General features: G+C 40.2%; 1 protein-coding gene across 4 annotated transcripts in view, besides 1 other annotated feature; it reads right to left on the bottom strand.

Annotated features, from left to right (window-relative positions):
* PGCKA1 (PDCD10 and GCKIII kinases associated 1) overlaps nt 1–19728 on the bottom strand; it is a 140256-nt gene that overhangs the window by 48565 nt on the left and 71963 nt on the right. The gene's annotated exons all lie outside the window — the stretch shown is intronic.
* Nucleotides 5021–5521: an enhancer, noted in NCBI's record as "H3K4me1 hESC enhancer chr4:37541047-37541547 (GRCh37/hg19 assembly coordinates)". NCBI's record gives its function as "activates a minimal SCP1, AML or CMV promoter by ChIP-STARR-seq in naive H9 embryonic stem cells {active_cell/tissue: H9 hESC(naive)}" and the evidence as "EXISTENCE:reporter gene assay evidence [ECO:0000049][PMID:30033119]".

Raw genomic sequence — 19728 nt, 5'->3', positions numbered from 1 at the left:
GGGCAGAGGTTGTGCCCCCAAGATCATACCATTGCACTCCAGCCTGCGCAACAAGAGCAAAACTCCATCTCAAAAAAAACAAAAAAACAAAAAACAGAAAAAAAAACAAAAAAGAACCAAGCAACCAACAAAAAGCACTTGGAGGAAACAAAGAATAGAAAAAAGAAAATCCAAAACAACAAACAAACAAAAAACCAACCCCCAACCCAAACCCCAAGCCACTGACAATAACATCCTCATCATGTTACTTGTTCCCCCAAACTGAAAGCTATGTTTTTTTTTAATCAGAGAACAAAAAAAACAGCTCCTTGAAATTAAAACAAAAGAGCAAAAATAACTATTTCAACAGAGAATCTAGAAGAAAAAGGTGAAGAAATCTCACATAAATTAGCAAAAGAGATAAAGTCATTTAAAATTGAATAAAAAAGATAAAAAAAAATTAGAAGACCAATCCAGGACATCCAGTATCCAAATAATAGGAGTTGCAGGAAGAGAGAATAAACAAAAGAAGGGAAGGAATTCGTCACAAAATAATTTGAGAAAATTTTACGTAATTGAAGGACATGAGTTTCTGGATTGAAAGGACTCACCAACTGCCCAGTGAAATGGTTAAAAATAGAATCAAAATCAACATACATCACTGAGATATTTCAGAAGTAGGATAAAAGTAAAGATCCAGTAGCCTCCCAGGGAAACATAAAACAAAAAAAACTCAATGATATACAAAGAGCTGGGCATCAGCATGATTTTGGACTTCTTAAACATATATACACACAAATAATTCTAAATCTGGCCAAACTACCAATTAAGTGAGAGGGTAGGATAAAGACATTTTCAGATATGAAAGGTCTCAAAACGTTTATCATCCATATATCTTTTCTCAGGCTATCAGAAGTTACTAGAAGATGTAAAAAACAAGTGAGGGAGTAAACCAAGAGGGAATGACAAGGGATAGATAAAATAGGGCATTAAACACAGAAGAGAGGCAAAAGTATTACCAAGGATGATGGTGATGGGAGATCCCAGAATGCCTCCAGTGTATACAAGAGAGGGCACAGCTTGTTCAGATTGGAGAAGCTAAGAAGGCTCTAGCAGCCTTCTTTTTTTTTTTTGAGACGGAGTCTTGCTCTGTCGCCCAGGCTGGAGTGCAGTGGCGCTATCTCGGCTCACTGCAAGCTCTGCCTCCTGGGTTCACGCCATTCTCCTGCCTCAGCCTCCCGAGTAGCTGGGACTACAGGCGCCCGCCACCACGCCCGGCTAATTTTTTGTATTTTTTTTTTCAGTAGAGATGGGTTTCACCGTGGTCTCAATCTCCTGACCTCGTGATCCGCCTGCCTCGGCCTCCCAAAGTGCTGGGATTATAGGTGTGAGCCACCGCGCCCAGCCAGGCAGCCTTCTTTCAAGAGATGAAATGAACAGAATAACTAAAGTGTCCCAAAGATAAAGATTTATACAACATGGAAATAATTTGAGGTTGAATCAGTGGTAGGTATACAGAACATTCAATAAATGAGAAACAAGCCCTTTGCTACCTGCAGAAAAACACTGTACAGAAAAGGAAATATAATGGTAATCCACTCCCTGGTTTAGCTTTCAAAAGTATTTACACAGTTATAAAATTCCTCTAACCCAAATTAAAGGCAGGGGGTTCAGTGGAGAATGGTGGCATTCCTTATGTATGGTAGGGCTGGAGGTGGTAGCTTCTTCCACTGTGGAAGATGATGCCTATTATGGAAAAAAACCCACCAAAGAAATAGTAATAGAAGTATGCATTTAGAGAGAAAGAGGCAAATACCAAAACAATCACTTAAAAGAGCGATTTCGTTTGAGAAAAGAAAAATGTGCTTACAGGTGAGCAGACTGGGCTTGACCTGGAGATTTGGGGACCAGTCTAGTCATAAGAGAAAGTCATGAGAAAGAGTGAATTAGATGATAGCAAGCAGTAGGAATCTGGCTTCTGAATGAGCCAGTTCACATCCATTTATTTAACTTGCATTAATTATTAAACATCTAGTGCTGCGGGCCAGACCATATGCTAGTAGGGATCACAGCCCAGATGAATAAGACATCAAGCTTATAATTTAGTGGGGTGGGTGCACCTAAGCAATTAGATGCAATGATATAATAGAGATTATAGGCAAAACACTATGAAAATGGAGTTGGGGTGGTGTCCTACAACCAATCTTTCTGAATATTCTGGAGCTGCACAGTCAAAATGGTAAATACTAACGACATATGGCTACCTAAATTACTTAAAATTAAATACATTAAAATTTCAGCTCCTTGGTTACACTAATGAGCCATACTTCAAGTGCTCAAAAGCCACATGTGGCTAGTGGCTACTGTATTGTACAGTATGGACATAGAACATGTTCCTCATTACAGAAAGTTCTATTGGATAGTGCTGATCTACACGTTCTTAAATGGCGTTTTTTACAGCATATTCAAGTACAACATTAAACACCCGAAGGACAACATTCCGTGGTCTGTTAGCAAATAGATTCTTGCTTGATATTTATCCGTGCAATTTATCTGTACATGGAATGGAATTTTTACTTTGTAGAATGTTATTTTTCAAGTGGAGCCACCCCTGAACTAGGAGGGGGTATTTCTTCTCCTGATACGGTTTGAGCACCCACAGGTGTTGGGGACAAATGCTGCTGGTGACCAAAAGTCGGTGAGTCTTTGGGAAGACACTTTTGCATAGTGGTGCAGGGTAAATGCACCTGGTGGTAATAATTTAAGTATGCCCTTAGAATGACCCTGAATGACAGATGCACCTGAATGTGTGTTCTGAGCTAGGGAATCCAGGAGTGACCACCTCAGAGATTCCTTCCTTATCTATGATAAACATCTGAGACCCGGCCTGTCCAATGGAAGATGCGCTGTACAGGGGATTGAGACCTGAGTTTTGGGTTAAATGAAGGTTGCCAGGTGGAGGTTATTAAGGGGAGGGTAAGTGAAAATGCTGTATAGAGTGCATGCTGTTTGCAAGTTGCCTAGTCCGCTACCACTGGGCAATGTGGTTATATTGTCCAGCCTGCCGCCACTGGACTCTCTCCTCTGTATGTAGGCCCCAAATAAGCCCCATGTCTCATTTCCTGGCTCTAGATGTCTTTTTCGGCCTCTTGAACTTGGTGCCTTCCCTATTGAGGTTAATAGGAGTTCAGCACAAGTGGAAAAGAGGGGTGAGCTCTAGAGCCAGAAACTCCTGAATTTGAATCGGCTCCACTACTTATAAGCTGTGTGGCCTCAAGAAAAATCTCAAAACCTCTCTGTTCCTTCGTTCCTTCACATGAGGTGTACACATAATGCATGAACCAGGAAAAGCTGGTGGCAGAAGCACAAAAATGGCAGCGGCCATGTGGCTAATTGTTATTAATGTGCAGCATTTGATGAGTAGGCTGGTAGAGGGAGGCCCCTAAGAGGGGCTGGTAGAGGGCGGAGAGGGCAGACTCTCCTCCTCGCTCATTTCTGCTCATCACCACCCTGTTAAAGGGTCTATCATTGTCCCAAGACTTAAGTACCTCTAATAGGAAGACTTTTTGTGCAAAGGGAAAGAGAAGAAGGGAAAAGGGCACCAGCATTTACTGAAAGCCTGGACATGCCAGACCCACTTGTGGGTGCTTTATATCGTTCTATAAGTCCTCCCAACAAGGTTGGGGGTGGGGAGTTAAAGCATGGGAGGAAGGGAAGGTTTGTGGGTGGTGGAAAAGGAAGCATGATGGGAGATAAATCCACTAGGATGGGCTGGGGTTAGGTGGGGAGAGGCCGTGAATACCATGCCAAATGCCTGACTCTGCGAGATTTCAGTTCATAATAATAACTGGTGGGAACATGCTGGACTCACTGGTGGGGAAAAATAGAGCTAGTCAAGGTGAACTCAGCCAGCCTGGGACTTCTCTGCAGACAGGTGTTTTTTACTTCAGAGTTTACACCACAGAGTGGACGGGCTGTTTGTGTTACCTTCTTTAACTTCCATGAAAGGAAAAAAAAAAAAGGGGTTTTTTTCCAAGTGGAGTTAAATTCTAAATATAATAAGCCTGAGTTGGCTCTAACACTGGTTGCAAGAATTAACTTTTCCTTGTAATCTGTAAATGCAGTCAGGTTTGTTTCCCATTTCTCTTTGATGGGTTCCCCCCAACTCCCACCCCCACCTCTACATGGGGCCAATATCTGAATAGAAAGCAAAGAGCTCAAGCTGGGCTCCTTTTTCTGAACAAGCTTTGCAAGCTTTGCAACATCTTCCTTGGATACGATTCAGCTGGGGGCCTTCCCTGTATCCCAAGAGGAATTCCTGTGTCCTCACACAGGGGCTCTTTGTTGTCAGAGGTTATGAGAAGTTAACCACTACTTTGCACAAGGAAATATCTTTTCATTGTGTGAAGTAATGATCAAAGAGGAATGTAATTTAAACCAAAGAAACAAAACCGTGATTTATATCTAGAATCTCCACAGAAAAAAGAAAAATCCTAGTTACTTCACTAAAGCACAATCATATTCGGGATAGAATGTAAGATTCACTCATTTATCGATTAACGTTAAAGCTTAGTCCTTAGTTTATGCCAAATTCTAAGTAGTTTTTAAAGTACAAAAACTTTCTTTTTGCACTCGCTCTGCTCAGATCTGGTCTTTTCCAAATGCTTAAAGACCTTTGTTCATTAAAAATGTTATATATGTTTGCATATACATAATGTGATTTATACACTCTACATTAAAACATATATAATTATGCACGCATGCACAAATACATATAAGTGCACAAAACTTGGAAAAAGAGAGGAAAAAAGGTCAACCATAATCAGTGCAGCTGAACCGTGTGTTATGTATGCAAATTTTTTCAAGGGTTTATGTCCATCTGCATACAAATTCTATACAATACACATACAACTTCGTGTCCCACTTCTTTTTCTTGTGTGGTTTTTAATTTTTATTTTTTTCACATTTAGTAACAGTAAGGTGTAGTATCTTATAAAATATTTAGAAGAGAGGCTTTTGAATGTTCTTATGATAAAGAAATGATAAATGCGTGCTGTTGCATATGCTAAATACCCTGTTTTGATCATTTTACAACATGTCCCATTTTTTTCACTTAGCATCACGTCTCTGGCCTTTTCCATGAAAATACACAATGTTCATAATAATTGTTTTAAATTCTTGCAAATTATTCCAAGAGTGATTGTCATGCCAATTCCCCATTAATTCCAGTGAGGATGGCAGCAGGTCCGAGAGGCTGAAGAAGAGACCTGGAGCCAGTGAATGCGACACAGGGTTTATGTTTATTCTTATTTTGAGACGGAGTCTTGCTCTGTCGCCCAGGCTGGAGTGCAGTGGCATAATCTCAGCTCAATGCAACCTCTGCCTCCCAGGTTCAAGCCATTCTCCTGCCTCAGCCTCTGGAGTAGCTGGGATTACAGGTGTGCGCCACATCTGGCTAATTTTTGTATTTTTAGTAGGGACGGGGTTTTGCCATGTTGGCCAGGCTGGTCTCAAACTCCTGACCTCAGGTGATTTGCCCACCTTGGCCTCCCAAAGTGCTGGGATTACAGGTGTGAGCCACCGCGCCCGGCTGCCACAGGGTTTAGAGGGGAACTTACATATCAGGACAGACCAGTGGCAGCAGGCTGAACAGGAGAACCACAGGACCAGTGGCAGCAGAACGCGATAACCACAGCCACTCAAGAGAAGCATGTCGTTTATATAACATTTTTCACGTAACATCCTCCTTTTAACAGCTTCTACTTAACCTTCATTTAACTGAAAACCAAGGGCCTTAATCCCATGTATGGTCTGTTTTTCACAGGGTCGGCTGGGGGCTCAGATGTTCCTCATAGATAAGGAGTGAATCTCTGGCTTGGCCACTCCCAGATTCCTTAGCTTGGAACTCCAAACACACATTCAGGTGCGAGTGCTATGTGGGGGTCATTCTTAGGGTATGCATAGATTATCATTGCGACATGCATCTACCCTACAGTGACCCCTGACAGTTAATTAACCATTCTCTCTAGAGTTTAACATTTTTGGAACTTAACATTTTTGGTAATATCACCCTCCTTGCAGCTTCCAAGTTCAGTGTCTACAGTGCTGACTATAACAGGCCATGATTTTAATGTGTGAGATGAATTTGATTTTATCTTTCCATTCTTTTCTATTTTTCTGTTGTGAAGTAAGTAACCTATGGGACCTGGCAGTTAGAAACCTAAACAGGAGATTAAGTTCCTCCATCATAAACCAGGAAATGATAATCTGCAAGGCATCACTGCTATCAAATTCACACCTCCAGGGAAAGTGCAAGGAAAGTCTGTTCAGCAATTATTACCTGTCCCAGGCAGAAACCCTTCTTTTCCAAACAGCTAAAGACCCCACCTAACAGACTCCAGGGAATCAGAGCCAAATTCTTAACTCCTGTTAAGTTCATCATGTTCTCTCTCTTTGCAGCACAAGCTCTTCCCAGGTGGAGATGGCAAGGTGTGTCTCTTTTAGCATCAGGGGCCCAAGAATGATGACTGACAGTCATTCTGTGAATCTGCAGATGCCCCAATGCCCTTTGGATTTTATCTTTTCTAGTTATAAAGTCCTTATTCTGTCTCAATTTTCTCACACATGTGGCAGAAGAGATTTGTCTGAGATGTACAAACTGTCTTGCACATACATGTTTATTTACCAAGGACAGGTGAGGGTGGAATGAAGCAGAACCCAGGGCCAAGTCACTGCGGCTGTGGTGCTAACAGTTCACACATGCAGGAGGGCTCAGGGAGGTTATAACCATAAGACTCTTCACTGGATCCAGTCCCAGTTGTTACACTCAACAGATTTTCAAACCAAGATTTGAGGCTCTGGTTCTGATGCATGGGTGTGCGTGTGTGTGTGTGTGTGTGACAGGGTTGTGGTGGTAATGATGATGGTGGTGATGGTGGTGACAGTGGAAGTGGTGGTGATGGTGATGACGGTGAAGATGGTGATGGTATCTGACACTTGAGCATTCACTATGTGTTTGATACTTTACACTCACTATCTTGTTCTTTTCCCAGCAACTCTGTGTGAAATAAGCATTCCAGTGTCCTAGCTTCATTTTACGATAATGGAAATTGGTTTAGCAAGCCTAAATAACTTGCATAAGGTTACACAACTAATATATTTTGGAGAAAGAATTCAGAGTTTAAGCTTCTTCATTTATTATATATCATGGAGTCTTCAGTATGGTGGATGCATGCAACAAAGCCTATCACTGCAGAGCTAGGCAGGGAATGTGAGACACAGGAAGTTGAATAACTTGGACTTCCTGTCAAAGAGAGAACTCAAATGTAGGCTCCTGACACTATCTCCAAATACATGCCCAGAGCCGCACTGACAGGACTGAAGAAAGGTAATGTTCTTCATGTATCTTTAAACCTCAGCCTCATTTTTTTTCTATAACAAATCACTTGCTGTTCCTTATGTTATTTCTAGACTAGGAAAATTCTACCACTTTTATGCATGTGTATAATATTGCAAATTTGTACATGTAAGCATTTAAAATATTCTTCAATGTTTATAATGCTGCTTTGTCATTATTTTACTACTTTAACATATTGACAGCCTCAAACACAAGCACAAAGAATCATCCAGGCCTCTTTTCAACCTCTGAGACACCTTGCTGATGTTCTAGTTGTTTTAGAAAAGCCAGATTCTAGGTACACCATACATGTAATGCAAAAGGAAATATTAGGGACAGATTTCTGTGCAATTATTTAAGGGAAATTCTGGAGGGCAGAACATACCTGTGTAGACACTGCACTCTCTGTGAGTCCTTAAGTATCTATATCTTATGAGCCTTAAGAACAATCTTATGGGTTACATATGTTACATTGGCACAGGTCAAGCAATCAATTACTGGAAAGATGTAATTATGATGCCACTGGCCCTTCAGCTTCCGGGCCTGTCTTTTCTTATGGCAGGCAAGGGCCCTGCTGCCATGAGTCCGTCACTCTGCCCCAAAGCTGGCCAGCCATGCCACCAGTGACTAAGACTACATGTATTACCAAAAAGAACCTGAACTGTCAGTTAAGTTGTCGTCCCCTAAATCTTTCCCATTCTACATGAGGTTTGTAATGTATTTTGATATCCTGGTTAAGCTATCAGTTTTAGTAGAGAGCAAGAGAGAGAACAAATACATGTCTATTGGAACACAACTAGGCCCATTCATTTATGCATTGTCTGTGGCTGCTTTTGAGCTACACAGCAGAGTTGAGTAGTTGCAATAGATACCATAACTGGCAAAGTCCAAAATATTTACTATCTGGTTCTCTACATAAAAAGTTTGCTGACTCCATCTCTACAGGATAAAGAAAGTACCTGATGAGAAACCTAGGCATGCTAGCAGTCACACGAGTGAGCTTGGAAGTGTACCTTTTCAGACCCGCCAAGAGACACCTGAGTGAGCTTGAAAGCGGATTCTCCATGCCCCAGTCCAGCCTGGAGATCACTGCAGCCCTGACTGACAGCTTGACTGACAGACCTTAAACTAGAGGCACCCCATTATCCTGCGCCCAGATTCCTGGCCTACAGAAACTGTCAGATAAAAAAAAAAGTTTGTTGTTTTAAGCTGCTAAATATTGGGGTAATTTGTTGTACAGTAATAGGTAACTAATAGAATTGCATCTCTTTAGTTGGACTTGCCCTTTCAAGGGGAGTGAAATTCTACCTTCTGGGTCAAAGTCCTAATAGGATCTTCTCTGTGAAAGCTTTTGGCCCGCTGTGCCCCTATCCCAAATAGAACCATCAAAGTGCTGTGCTAAGTGCTTACTCAGAGCCTATCCCCTGGCTATATGGCCAGTTATGTAGTTGTCTGTCTCTGTTTTGTACTCGTGTCACACCCAGTTTTGCAACCACAGAATCTGATTCAGTGCCTATTAATGGAATAAATATTTATTGAGTGCTTACTATGTGCCAAGCACTTTATGTGCATGATCTCATTTAATCCTCACAACCACTTAGGAGGTACTATTTTGAAGCTCATCTAACAGAGGAGGAAGCAAGGTTAAACAGGTTAAGGAACTTGCTTTATATCCTCTAGCTAGCAACTGGTAGAGCCAAGATTTAAACCTATACTCTACTGCCTGGGCCCAAAGGCCCAGGAAACACAGCTCCAGTCCCAGCGCTGCCATGTTGAACTGTGGACCCAGCAACATCGCTCACACTGAGGATGTCAATTTCCTCATCCATAATGTGGTGGTGGTAATGCCCCTTTCCAAACTCTCAGGGTTACTGCGAGGAAAAGCGCAGGTCATGAAATAGCGATTTTCAGTTCTTTACGAATGTGGAATCAAAATGAGGTGATTTACTGATCTTCTCACCAGACACCTCTTGGTTGTGGGAGACCTGAATGAACAGAAATCCAGGTAGAGGTGGAGCGAAGTGGGGCTCTGGAAGCTGTCTACTTAAACCCCTTTCCCACTTCCTGCTCCTCCCTCCCTGGCTCTTAGGATCACTGTGGCCCCCCACTCCATCTGTAAATGGCCCCAAATTGTGGGCATATCCAACAAGGTGTGGATATAGAGAAAAAATATTCTGTTTTTTGAAACAGGGTCTCACTCTGTCACCCAGTTTGCAGTGCAGTGATGGGACCATAGCTCACTGTAACCCTGAACTCCTTGCTTTAAAGCAATCCTCCCGCCTTGGCCGACCAAGCACTGGGATTACAGGTGTGAGCCACCACGCCCAGCCCTCGATTCTTTCAAAAACACGTCACGCTGTCACACTTTGGGAGTTTTTACTGGCCGTGTCCATGGACAGCCTTCTCTCCGGAAAGCCCTCCTTATAGCATCTGGCTGACTCTGACTTCCCACTCAGTGTTGGCCTCTTCCGGAAAGTACCCTGGATGCCTCTAGCTGGATTAGTTGTCCTAGTTCTGAACTCTCATGGCACTCTCTTGCACCTCTTAGACAAGAGTTGGAATTTGTCGCATTTGAATCCTCAGTATGCGGAAGAGCACCTAGTATATGATAGGCATTCAATCAATTCTAGTTGAATAAAGGAAATAATTCTCACCCATTTCTAGGCTGTTCTAGGCTAAATGTTGCTATGGCCTGAACACTAGTGTCCCTCCAAAATCCATATGTTGAAACATAAACCCAAGTGTGGAAATGTTAAGAGGTGAGGCCCTTAGAAGTTGATTACATCACAAGGGCTCTGACTTCACAAATGGGATTAGTGTCCTTACAAAAGAGGTTGAAGGGAGCTGCCCTCCCCTTCTGCCCTGTAAGGACACAGTCACAAGGCACCATTTATGGGTGACAGCAAGCCCTCGCCAGACACCAAATCTGTGATGCCTTGATCTTGGACATCCCAGCATCCAGAATTATGTGAAATAAATTTCTATTATTTATAAATTGGCCAGTCTAAGGTATTTTGTTATAGCAACCCAAAAGGACTAAGACAAATGTAAATTCCATAAGGAAGCTATCATGTTTAACCCAGTAGCAAGCACATAGTGGGTACTCAATAATCAGCTAACTGACCCTAAATACATGGCCTCATACTATTAGATTCAAGACAGTCTGGTCAGATTAAAGGAAGCAGAGTCCAAGGCGTGGCTTTAAGGTTAAGAAAACGGTAACTCTAGTCAAGGCCCCAGCTGTGGCCAAGCCAGAATGGATTTACATGACTTTCCTGGACCCAGGTTCTTGTGGCTCACATTCCTGGGCTTCATGATGCTAAAATATTATGGTTCATCTTTCAGGAAAAGTATCAGCTATCTATTCTGATCAATGCCAATGACCTTGGATTTAAATTGTATCTTTCTTGGACCAGTGATTTTCAAAAAGAAAAACAAGATGATTATTTCTGTATGGATTACCTATTTCATCTTGCTTCCTTAAATGCCACTGAAAAATCCAAACAGAAAAAAAAGCATTGCTTTTCCCCCAAGCAACAGCAAAATTCCAGGAAGCCAAAAACTTTGATCGGGGTTTCCTTTCAGTGTCATTTACAATGAACTAGGTAAAATGGACATCCTAAGAAAATAAAGAACCTGGCATATTTTGAATCCCAAAACCAGAACAAAATTCTGCCTGATAATCACAAAGAAAATATGCACTGTAAGCATTTCCCACCATTATTTGGCAATCCACTTACTTCCCTAAGGGAAACAAAGACTTTGCGAACATAGATTTGTCTTCCATTAGATGACTGTTCAAATATGAGTCAAATATAACTTGCTCAGGTATTATTTTTATCCCTTCCAGTTAGACACTCCAACTCCCACAAAAGGAAATCAATTTTCCAGAAAATATTGGAAGGATCTTTAGTTGTTGTTTTTTTCATTCAATTTTTCTATTAACAAGTGTTAGAAATATATAAGGGTCAGGTAGGAAGGAGGGCTGTTCTTGGAATTTTGCAGGTCAAAGAATGTTTGCTTATTTATAAGCGAAACTCAACAGAGCAGCCCCACCTTCTGCAATGTGGAATGTAATGCAGAAACATAGTTTGTGGAAACGATCCAAAACCAATTAAAGTAGACTTAAGTAAATGATCATATAACGATATGCGTGACAATTCACAGATCACAAGTGTATTTCTAGAGAGTGGTACAGGGTAGAAGTAAAAGAACACCAGAAACTGATAAACTCTTAACCCCCCTTTAATTCACTCAACTAAATAAATATGAGACCAGCTTAAATTCCTAATTTTCAATCCTTAATGTTTTCTTAGCTGGAAATATTAACATGTAAAGTGCATTAACTTACTGTTCTTTGGGGAAAAAAAATCCTACTGCTTAAGCCAAAGATACTTGGAAATAGATACTATTTTTTTAAATAATTATACATATTTTATTAATGTTTTAATTTTTAAATTTCTATTTTTCCATAAGCTATTGGGTGTACAGGTGGTATCTGGTTACATACCAGATGATTTGTGAGATTTTTGGTGCACCCATCATCAAAGCAGTACACACTGCACCACATTTGTAGTCTTTTATCCCTCGCCCCCCTCCCACTGTTCCCCCCAAGTCCCCAAAGTCCAGGAGATGGATTCTATAATCTTCTTTAGCAAAACATAGTACATACACACACTACAAAAATGCATGACATTTCATAGAAGCTTATCTTCAACTTGCTTTTGGGTAGTTTGAAGACTTCTTGACAGTATTCACTCCTGCTAGTGGACGAATGGGAAAAATATTAAAAGCAGTCAGCATACTTTTTAGCTTCTCTTTTTAAACAACAGGATTAAAAGCTATGTTCCTATTCCAACTGTGTTCAAAATGGTGCCTTTGTTTTGGGGAAGGTATGATTTTACTCTGTGGTTCTGGCAGGTGCAAAGTTTGCAGACCAGTTATACCTTACAGCTAGTGGTCTGGCAAATGTTTTACAACTGGTTCTATGGAAAAAAAATGCTTACTGTAAATAAAGGATGTGTACCACATAGTTTACAAATAATAGTATTTTTAAAAATAATAAATTCCATTTAGAGGACTGATTTCACAGAATGCTTTCAATGAGTTCTGCCAGCCTTTTCTATCCATAGTTAACCTATAGTTTCAACTGATGAGCAGGTATAGTTCCCACATGAATGCTGGTTCACATTTTTGTTTAACAATTTAGAAGAAAGTGAAACAAAGAACATATATGTTGGAATTACACTCATTTGTTAATGACATGAGCAAATTCTTTGGTGAATCAGATAATAGCTTTTGAATATTGGAAGAAAAATTTCCTTTTTCCCATGTAGCAGCTGTAGACTTAACACACTTTTAAGTTTAATTTGCATTAATAATTTCTTCATTCTTAATTGTAGACAAGCAACAAAATGATAAATCAAGCATTGATTTATCATATTTGCTGATTTCCATGGTGTAAATGCTCCTGCCATAGCTAATTTCAAGCTAGCAATGTTAAGTCACTGAACATAAAGTTGGAAAGGATGTATGGTAGCACCCCATTACATAGTATTTCCACAACACAGATATAATAGATGTCAATTACCTCCAAAGCATGGACAATAGTAAAATATTTAGGAAGTGACGAGTGTTGAGTATTTCTTTACTTCATTCTTTTTTTTTTTTTTTTTTTTTGAGACAGATTCTAGCTCTTTCGCCCAGGCTGGACTGCAGTGGCGCTATCTTGGCTCACTGCAAGCTCTGCCTCCCGGGTTCACGTCATTCTCCTGCCTCAGCCTCCCGAGTAGCTGGGATTACAGGCACCCACCACCACGCCCGGCTAATTTTTTGTATTTTTAGTAGAGATGGGGTTTCACCATGTTAGCCAGGATGGTCTCGATCTCCTGACCTCGTGATCCGCCCGCCTCGGCCTCCCAAAGTGCTGGGATTACAGGCGTGAGCCACCATGCCCGACCTACTTCATCCTTAATATGATTTATTTAATTATACTTTAATATATTTTAATTTTTAATATTATAAAAATCTCACAAAATTTCTGAAATTCCAAAATCCTGCAGCCAGTCCTGGCTGGCTCTGACAAAAGCTTTCTGGGTTCTGAGCTTGAAGGGCAAATGCATTTCCCAGACAATTTTCTCTCAGCCACATACCACTAACCTCCAATTAACAGTGACTCTAAGGCCCAAGTTCCCCTGCTATGAGTTAATCAGTCCAAAGGGTATGGGATGTCTGGTATGAAGTTTCCAGCGAGTACTAACATTTAGTCATAAGCATGTGGGAAAAAAATGTCTTTACCATAGTCATGTGACTTTGAGGCAATCCTCAGTTTCCTTACCTGAGAAGGAAGGATGTAGAAGGGGAAGAATGTGGTTCTGAGGGATGCTATAAGGATTACAGACAACGCATATAAAGTTCCTAGGATAACGCCTCAGATAAAGTAGATGTCAATAATTCAATGTTTATCATTAAGACAGTAACAGGTCACTGTAAAGATTTCATTTCTGGACACATATATGTCAGTCAGGTGAGCTACTTCCTTTCCTTTAACAGAGAAACAGTTTTTTTTTCCCTTTTCTTTGCTTTTGAGACAGAGTCTCGTTCTGTCGCCCAGGCTGGAGTGCAGTGGCACTCTCTCGGCTCACTGCAACCTCTGCCTCCCGGGTTCAAACCATTCCCCTGCCTTGGCCTCCCAAGTAGCTGAGATTACAGGTGCCCACCACCACACCACACCCGGCTAATTTTTTGTATTTTTAGTGGAGACGGGGGGCTTCATCACGTTGGCCAGGCTGGTTTTGAACTCCTGACCTCAAGTGAACCGCCCGCTTAGGTCTCCCAAAGTGCTGGGCTTACAGGCGTGAGCCACCGTATCTGACCTGAGAAATAATTTTCAAACGTGACTGACAGATGAGTGGGTTTGAGAAAAGCCCAGTGGCAATCATTCTTCTTTGAGTATTACCTGGCTCCCAAGCATTTTTTTTTTTTTTTTTTTTTTTTTGAGACATAGTTTCACTTTGTCATCCAGGCTGGAGTGCAGGGGCATGATCTCAGCTCACTGCAACCTCTGTCTTCTGGGTTCAAGCGATTCTTGTGCCTCAGCCTCACAAGTACCTGGAACTACAGGCGTGCGCCACCATGCATGGCTCATTTTTATATTCTTTTGGTAGAGACAGGGTTTCACCATGTTGGCCAGGCTGGTCACGAACTCCTGACCTCAAATGATTCACCGGCCTTGGCCTCCCAAAGTCCTGAGATTACAGGTGTGAGCCACCATGCCCAGCCGGCATTGCTATTTTCACCTCTTCTTGGAAAAACAACAACAAAAAAGTGAAGATAAATTTATAATAGAAAAGATCCAATGGGTAAATTCCAACAGTAAATGTTAGGAATCACAGGTTGTCTATTACGTGCTAGAAGTTAGGAAGACTCAGATGCCTTCTGTGTAATTAGCATGGGTAACAGATGCATCCTGTTTAGATGGAAGATAAAAAGTTTTAAAGAGTTTTTAGAACATTTATCATTACTTTTGGGATTCCAGGCCTTTTTTGATCCTTTACCTACCCCACTTCTTTTTTTAAAGCAGACATTTAAAGAACAAAGCAAAACAATGCAAATACAAAAAGGCTTACATTATTTTTTAATATGTAAAATCGAGATAATAATACCTATCTTATAGGTTTGTTGTCTTAAAGGAACTAAAGGATTTAGTCCAGGAATGTGTCTAGCACACTGCCTGGGGTGAACACTGAATGACAGCATTGGAGGTAGCACGGTACTTTCTTCCATCCTTTTAAATCAACTCAAGGTTGGGGAAGGGGGCGGCTACAGACGAAAACACCGATGAAAGAGCCAGCTTCCCCCATCTTCTATGGGAGCAGGTAGCAGGCTGAACTAATTTGATATTTTCCCCTCCGGAATAGAGTATGTTCTTCCAAGAATAAAAAGAACAGCCCACCTGTGATAGTCATTAACCAGATAAAATCTTGAGGAAGAGATTCTAAGTCTCCAATTATCCTTTTACATACATTTATTCTTTATTTTGGATTCTAGGGACACCAAGGGTTAATTGATAAGTCATAGGCAATTTCATCACATACTGAGTTGCAAGCACAGGTGGGATAATAGAGCCACTGGGAATTAGCCTAACCTTAAAATATAAGATATTTATAGCATCAATAGTACATAATCATATGATTGGGGAGAAAATACAAAGGAAGAAATACATACGAGTCTTAAAGCTAGAAATATTACAAGATTTACTAGCTTATAATTTGAAGTACCTAGATGTAGGATAAATATATTTATGCAATGTATTATTGAAGACAATTCAATATGTTTCCAGGGAAATTGCAGAATTTAGCCTAGAAACATTTTAAGGCATAAGGACTTTAGGTAACATATTGTTAAATTTAGCATAATTCCATTTAGAGATTTGAGTTCTAGCTGCTGTGTCATCATGCTTTATAAAACTTAAAGCTAGATTTCTGGCTGGAAAACATTCTAAATTGAAATAAAAGCACAAATATGATAAACCAAATATTGTTAAGTTGTTAAAGTTAAAATCTCTAACCATGAGTATTGAGCCAGATTACCTAAGTTGAATTTTCTGAAGTAATAGTATGGGTTTGTATATATGTACCAAGCTTAAGCCGGAACAAAGCAGGAATTTTTCTCTGGTGGTAGAATTTACATAATGTACACTAGGAGAACTGTTCATGAGAAAAGTTCCTTAAACTATAATGTTTTTAAATTTAAATACTCACTGCTATACAATTGTATGTGAATTTGGAAGGAATGCAAATTACATTTATGGGATCAGTCTTCCTACTTTAACCCTTGAACTCTTGCTACCGCAGACTATAGTGGGACGATTCCTGCCTAGGAGAACAATGCATCAATCAATATGGGTGTCCTCCTCTCTCTGGGCAATTGCAAAAGAGCTGGCTTTTTTTTTAGTTTTTAAAAAATTTTCAAGGATTTTTAAAACCCACCTAGTGCCAGGCGTTTGTCCTCATCAGACTTAAACTGAAGCTCTTCTGTTAGTTCTTCTTTCTTTACCCCAAAGAGGTGCCCCAAAGGCTTGTCATCCCAAGGCTAAAATCCCAACAGTGTCTTAGAACTTCACACAGTTATGCAATCATTAAAAGCAAAACTGAAAACACAGCCCTGGGCCTTCTTGGGTGAGATGCGGCTGCAGGTTGGCTCTGTGGCTCACAGCTATTGCTTAACAAAACCAAACAGTGAGCACTAGATGTCGTGATTACATATTAAATAGTAGGAGCTGGATACCTTTCCTTGCCGAGGATGTGAATGACAACACAAAATCCCTGAGTCAAAGCTCTTCAGGGTCAAATATTACAATACTTTTCAACTATTAGTATTCAAGCAGTACTCAGAATAAAAACAAGCCCAGTGCTAACTTCCTGCTCCTGGAGTTGGTGCTCGAAATAATTAAATTCAGTGGAAATGGACAAACTCAATTTAAAAAATTTTGAAATGAAGCCAGATATCAGTATTTATGTTTGTACGGTCACACTACAAAGACACATTCTGAGAAAGGCAACATTAGGTGATTTTGTCGTGTGAACATCACAGAGCGTACTACCCAAATCTAGATGGTGTAGCCTACCACACACCTAGACTGCCTGGTATAGCCTATTGCCCCTAGGATACACATCTGTATGGTGCGTTACTGTACTGAATACTTTAGGCAATTGTAACATAAAAGTATTTTTTTTTTTTTGAGACGGAGTCTTGCTCTGTCGCCAGGCTGGAGCGCAGTGGTGCGATCTCGGCTCACTGCAAGCTCCGCCTCCTGGGTTCCTGCCATTCTCCTGCCTCAGCCTCCCAAGTAGCTGGGACTACAGGCGCCCGCCACCACGCCCAGTTAATTTTTTTTTTTTTTTTGTATTTTTTAGTAGAGACGGGGTTTCACTGTGTTAGCCAGGATGGTCTCAATCTCCTGACCTCATGATCTGCCCACCTCGGCCTCCCAAAGTGCTGGGATTACAGGCGTGAGCCACAATGCCCGGCTCATAAAAGTATTTATGTATCTAAACATAAATAGAGAAAAGGTACAGTAAAAATGCGGTATAAAAGTTAAGAGATGGTTCACCTAGATAGGGCACTTACCATGAATGGAGCTTACAGGACTGAAGTTGCTCTGGGTGAGTCAGTGAGTGAGTTTGAGTGAATATGAAGCCTAGGCTATTACTGGACACTACTGGAGACTTCATAAACACTGCACACTTAGACTACATTTATTTTAAAATATTTTTCTTTCTTTGATAGCAAATTAACCTTAGCTGACTGTAACTTTTTTACTTTATAAACTTTTTAATTACTAAAACGTTTTGACTCTTTCGTAGTAACACTTAGCTTAAAACACAAATACATTGTGTGGCTGTATAAAATGATTTTCTTTCTTTATAGTCTTATTATATATACTTTTTCCTTTTTTAATTAATTTTTTTTAATTAAAAAAACCTTTTTGTTAAAAGGTAAGACATAAACTCACACATTAGCTTAGGCCTACGCACGGCCAGGATTGTCAGTATCACTGTCCCACCTCCACATCTTGTCCTATTGGAAGGTTTTCAGGTTCAATAACATGCATGGAGCTATCATCTTGTATGATAACAATGTCTTCTTCTGGAATACCTCCTGAAGGACCTGCCTGAGGCTGTTTTACAATCAACTTTTTTTTTAAATAAGTGGAAGATGTACTCTCTCAAATAATAAAAAGTATAGCATAGTAAATACATAAACTTGTAACACAGACATTTATGATCATTGTCAAGTATGTACTATACATGATTGTATGTGCTATACTCTTATAAGACCAGAAGTGCGGCAGGTATGTTTACAACAGCATCATCACAAACACGTGAGTAAGGTGGTGTGCTATGATGTCACTAGGCAGTAGTAATTTCTCAGCTCCAGTATAATTTTATGAGATCCCTGTCACATATACAGTCCATAGCTGACCAAAACATCGTTATGAGGTGCATGATTGTTTATTATGGTTCATACTTTATGCTTATCCCAATGAAGTTTAATAATTGTTAGAACAAAGCTGTGAATTGATATGAGAAAATCTACACAAAATATACCATTTCCATCACTCAAGTCAGTCAGGCAATTTCTTAAGGTTTGTAGTCCACTGAGGTACTTTAGAATCTCAAAGCAACTATAGAATCCTACGGGCCAAGTGTTTGTAAGGTATTACTATGAATTTTAATAATTAAAAATGATTGATTCTAGACCTATATGTATCTAGCACTGTGCTAGCTATTGTAGAAGAATAAACAGTATATAACTCTCTCTTTCCAAGAATTTCATAATCTGATTAAGAAGCCAAATCCAACACACGAAGCAATTAGATAACTAAAGCACAAAACAAGATGGTGCTGAATTCTAGTGCGATAGTAATTCAGTCTTCAGCTGAGCTCCCGCTACATCTAGTGTCTGGGCTAAGGATTTGCTTGTGTCCTTTGCTTTGACATGTATAATTTACTACATCATAAACAGTATGATACAAATGTAGATTTTTGTTTATTAAACCCTTGGGGTAGTCAGAAATATACACTTTAGGAGTGAACAGCTAGTATCTAATCAGGAAGGTCAGACATAGTACTGGTTAATAAATGCAACTCCACTGTCCATTGATTAAGATATGAATTAATGAATGGCAGAAATGAGTTTTCATTGATGAAATTAATGGCTTATTGATCAGAAAAATAAATTCTAAAAACAGACACTACTTATGAGATTCAAGGTATAAATAGGCTTCCCTGACCCTGTATGAACAGGGAATAGTCATCGAGTGAAGCCTTTGGTGTGCTGCCTGAGGCTGGATTGGTCCTGTATCCTGCTGGTGGATTATATGATTTCTGGTGCCTGATGCTGAATTTAAGGGTAGTAGAATCCTATTGGGGAATATAGTTAAGCTGACTGCAATATATTTTCTGCAGAGTGGTGGTAGAAGAACCTAAAAGAATAAAGACTTGAGACTTCATGAATGTTTACAGAACGGACTGATGAATTGCTTAGGGCCTCCTTGCTAATACAGTTTAAAAGTATGTGTGTGGAGAATTTAGTCTGAAACTTGCTTTCATTATATCCTGGCAGGGACTACGTTGGAGAGTGGCTAATTCTCACCCACCTCATGCTTCCCTGTAGCTACTGTTATCTACACTTGATCCAATTTAGTTTGATTTTTAAATGGTGTAAAGACCTATTTTGAAGTTAAGTGCAATTTTGGCCCTCACACATTGGCTATGTAGCTGACTGTAAATCCTTTAGGTTCAATTTTTCCACACTAAATAAGGATAACAATACCTACTTACCAGGTT

Source organism: Homo sapiens, chromosome 4 (assembly GCF_000001405.40).
Source record: "Homo sapiens chromosome 4, GRCh38.p14 Primary Assembly".
Lineage (NCBI taxonomy): Eukaryota > Metazoa > Chordata > Mammalia > Primates > Hominidae > Homo > Homo sapiens.
This window is presented reverse-complemented; position numbering and strand designations above follow the sequence as displayed.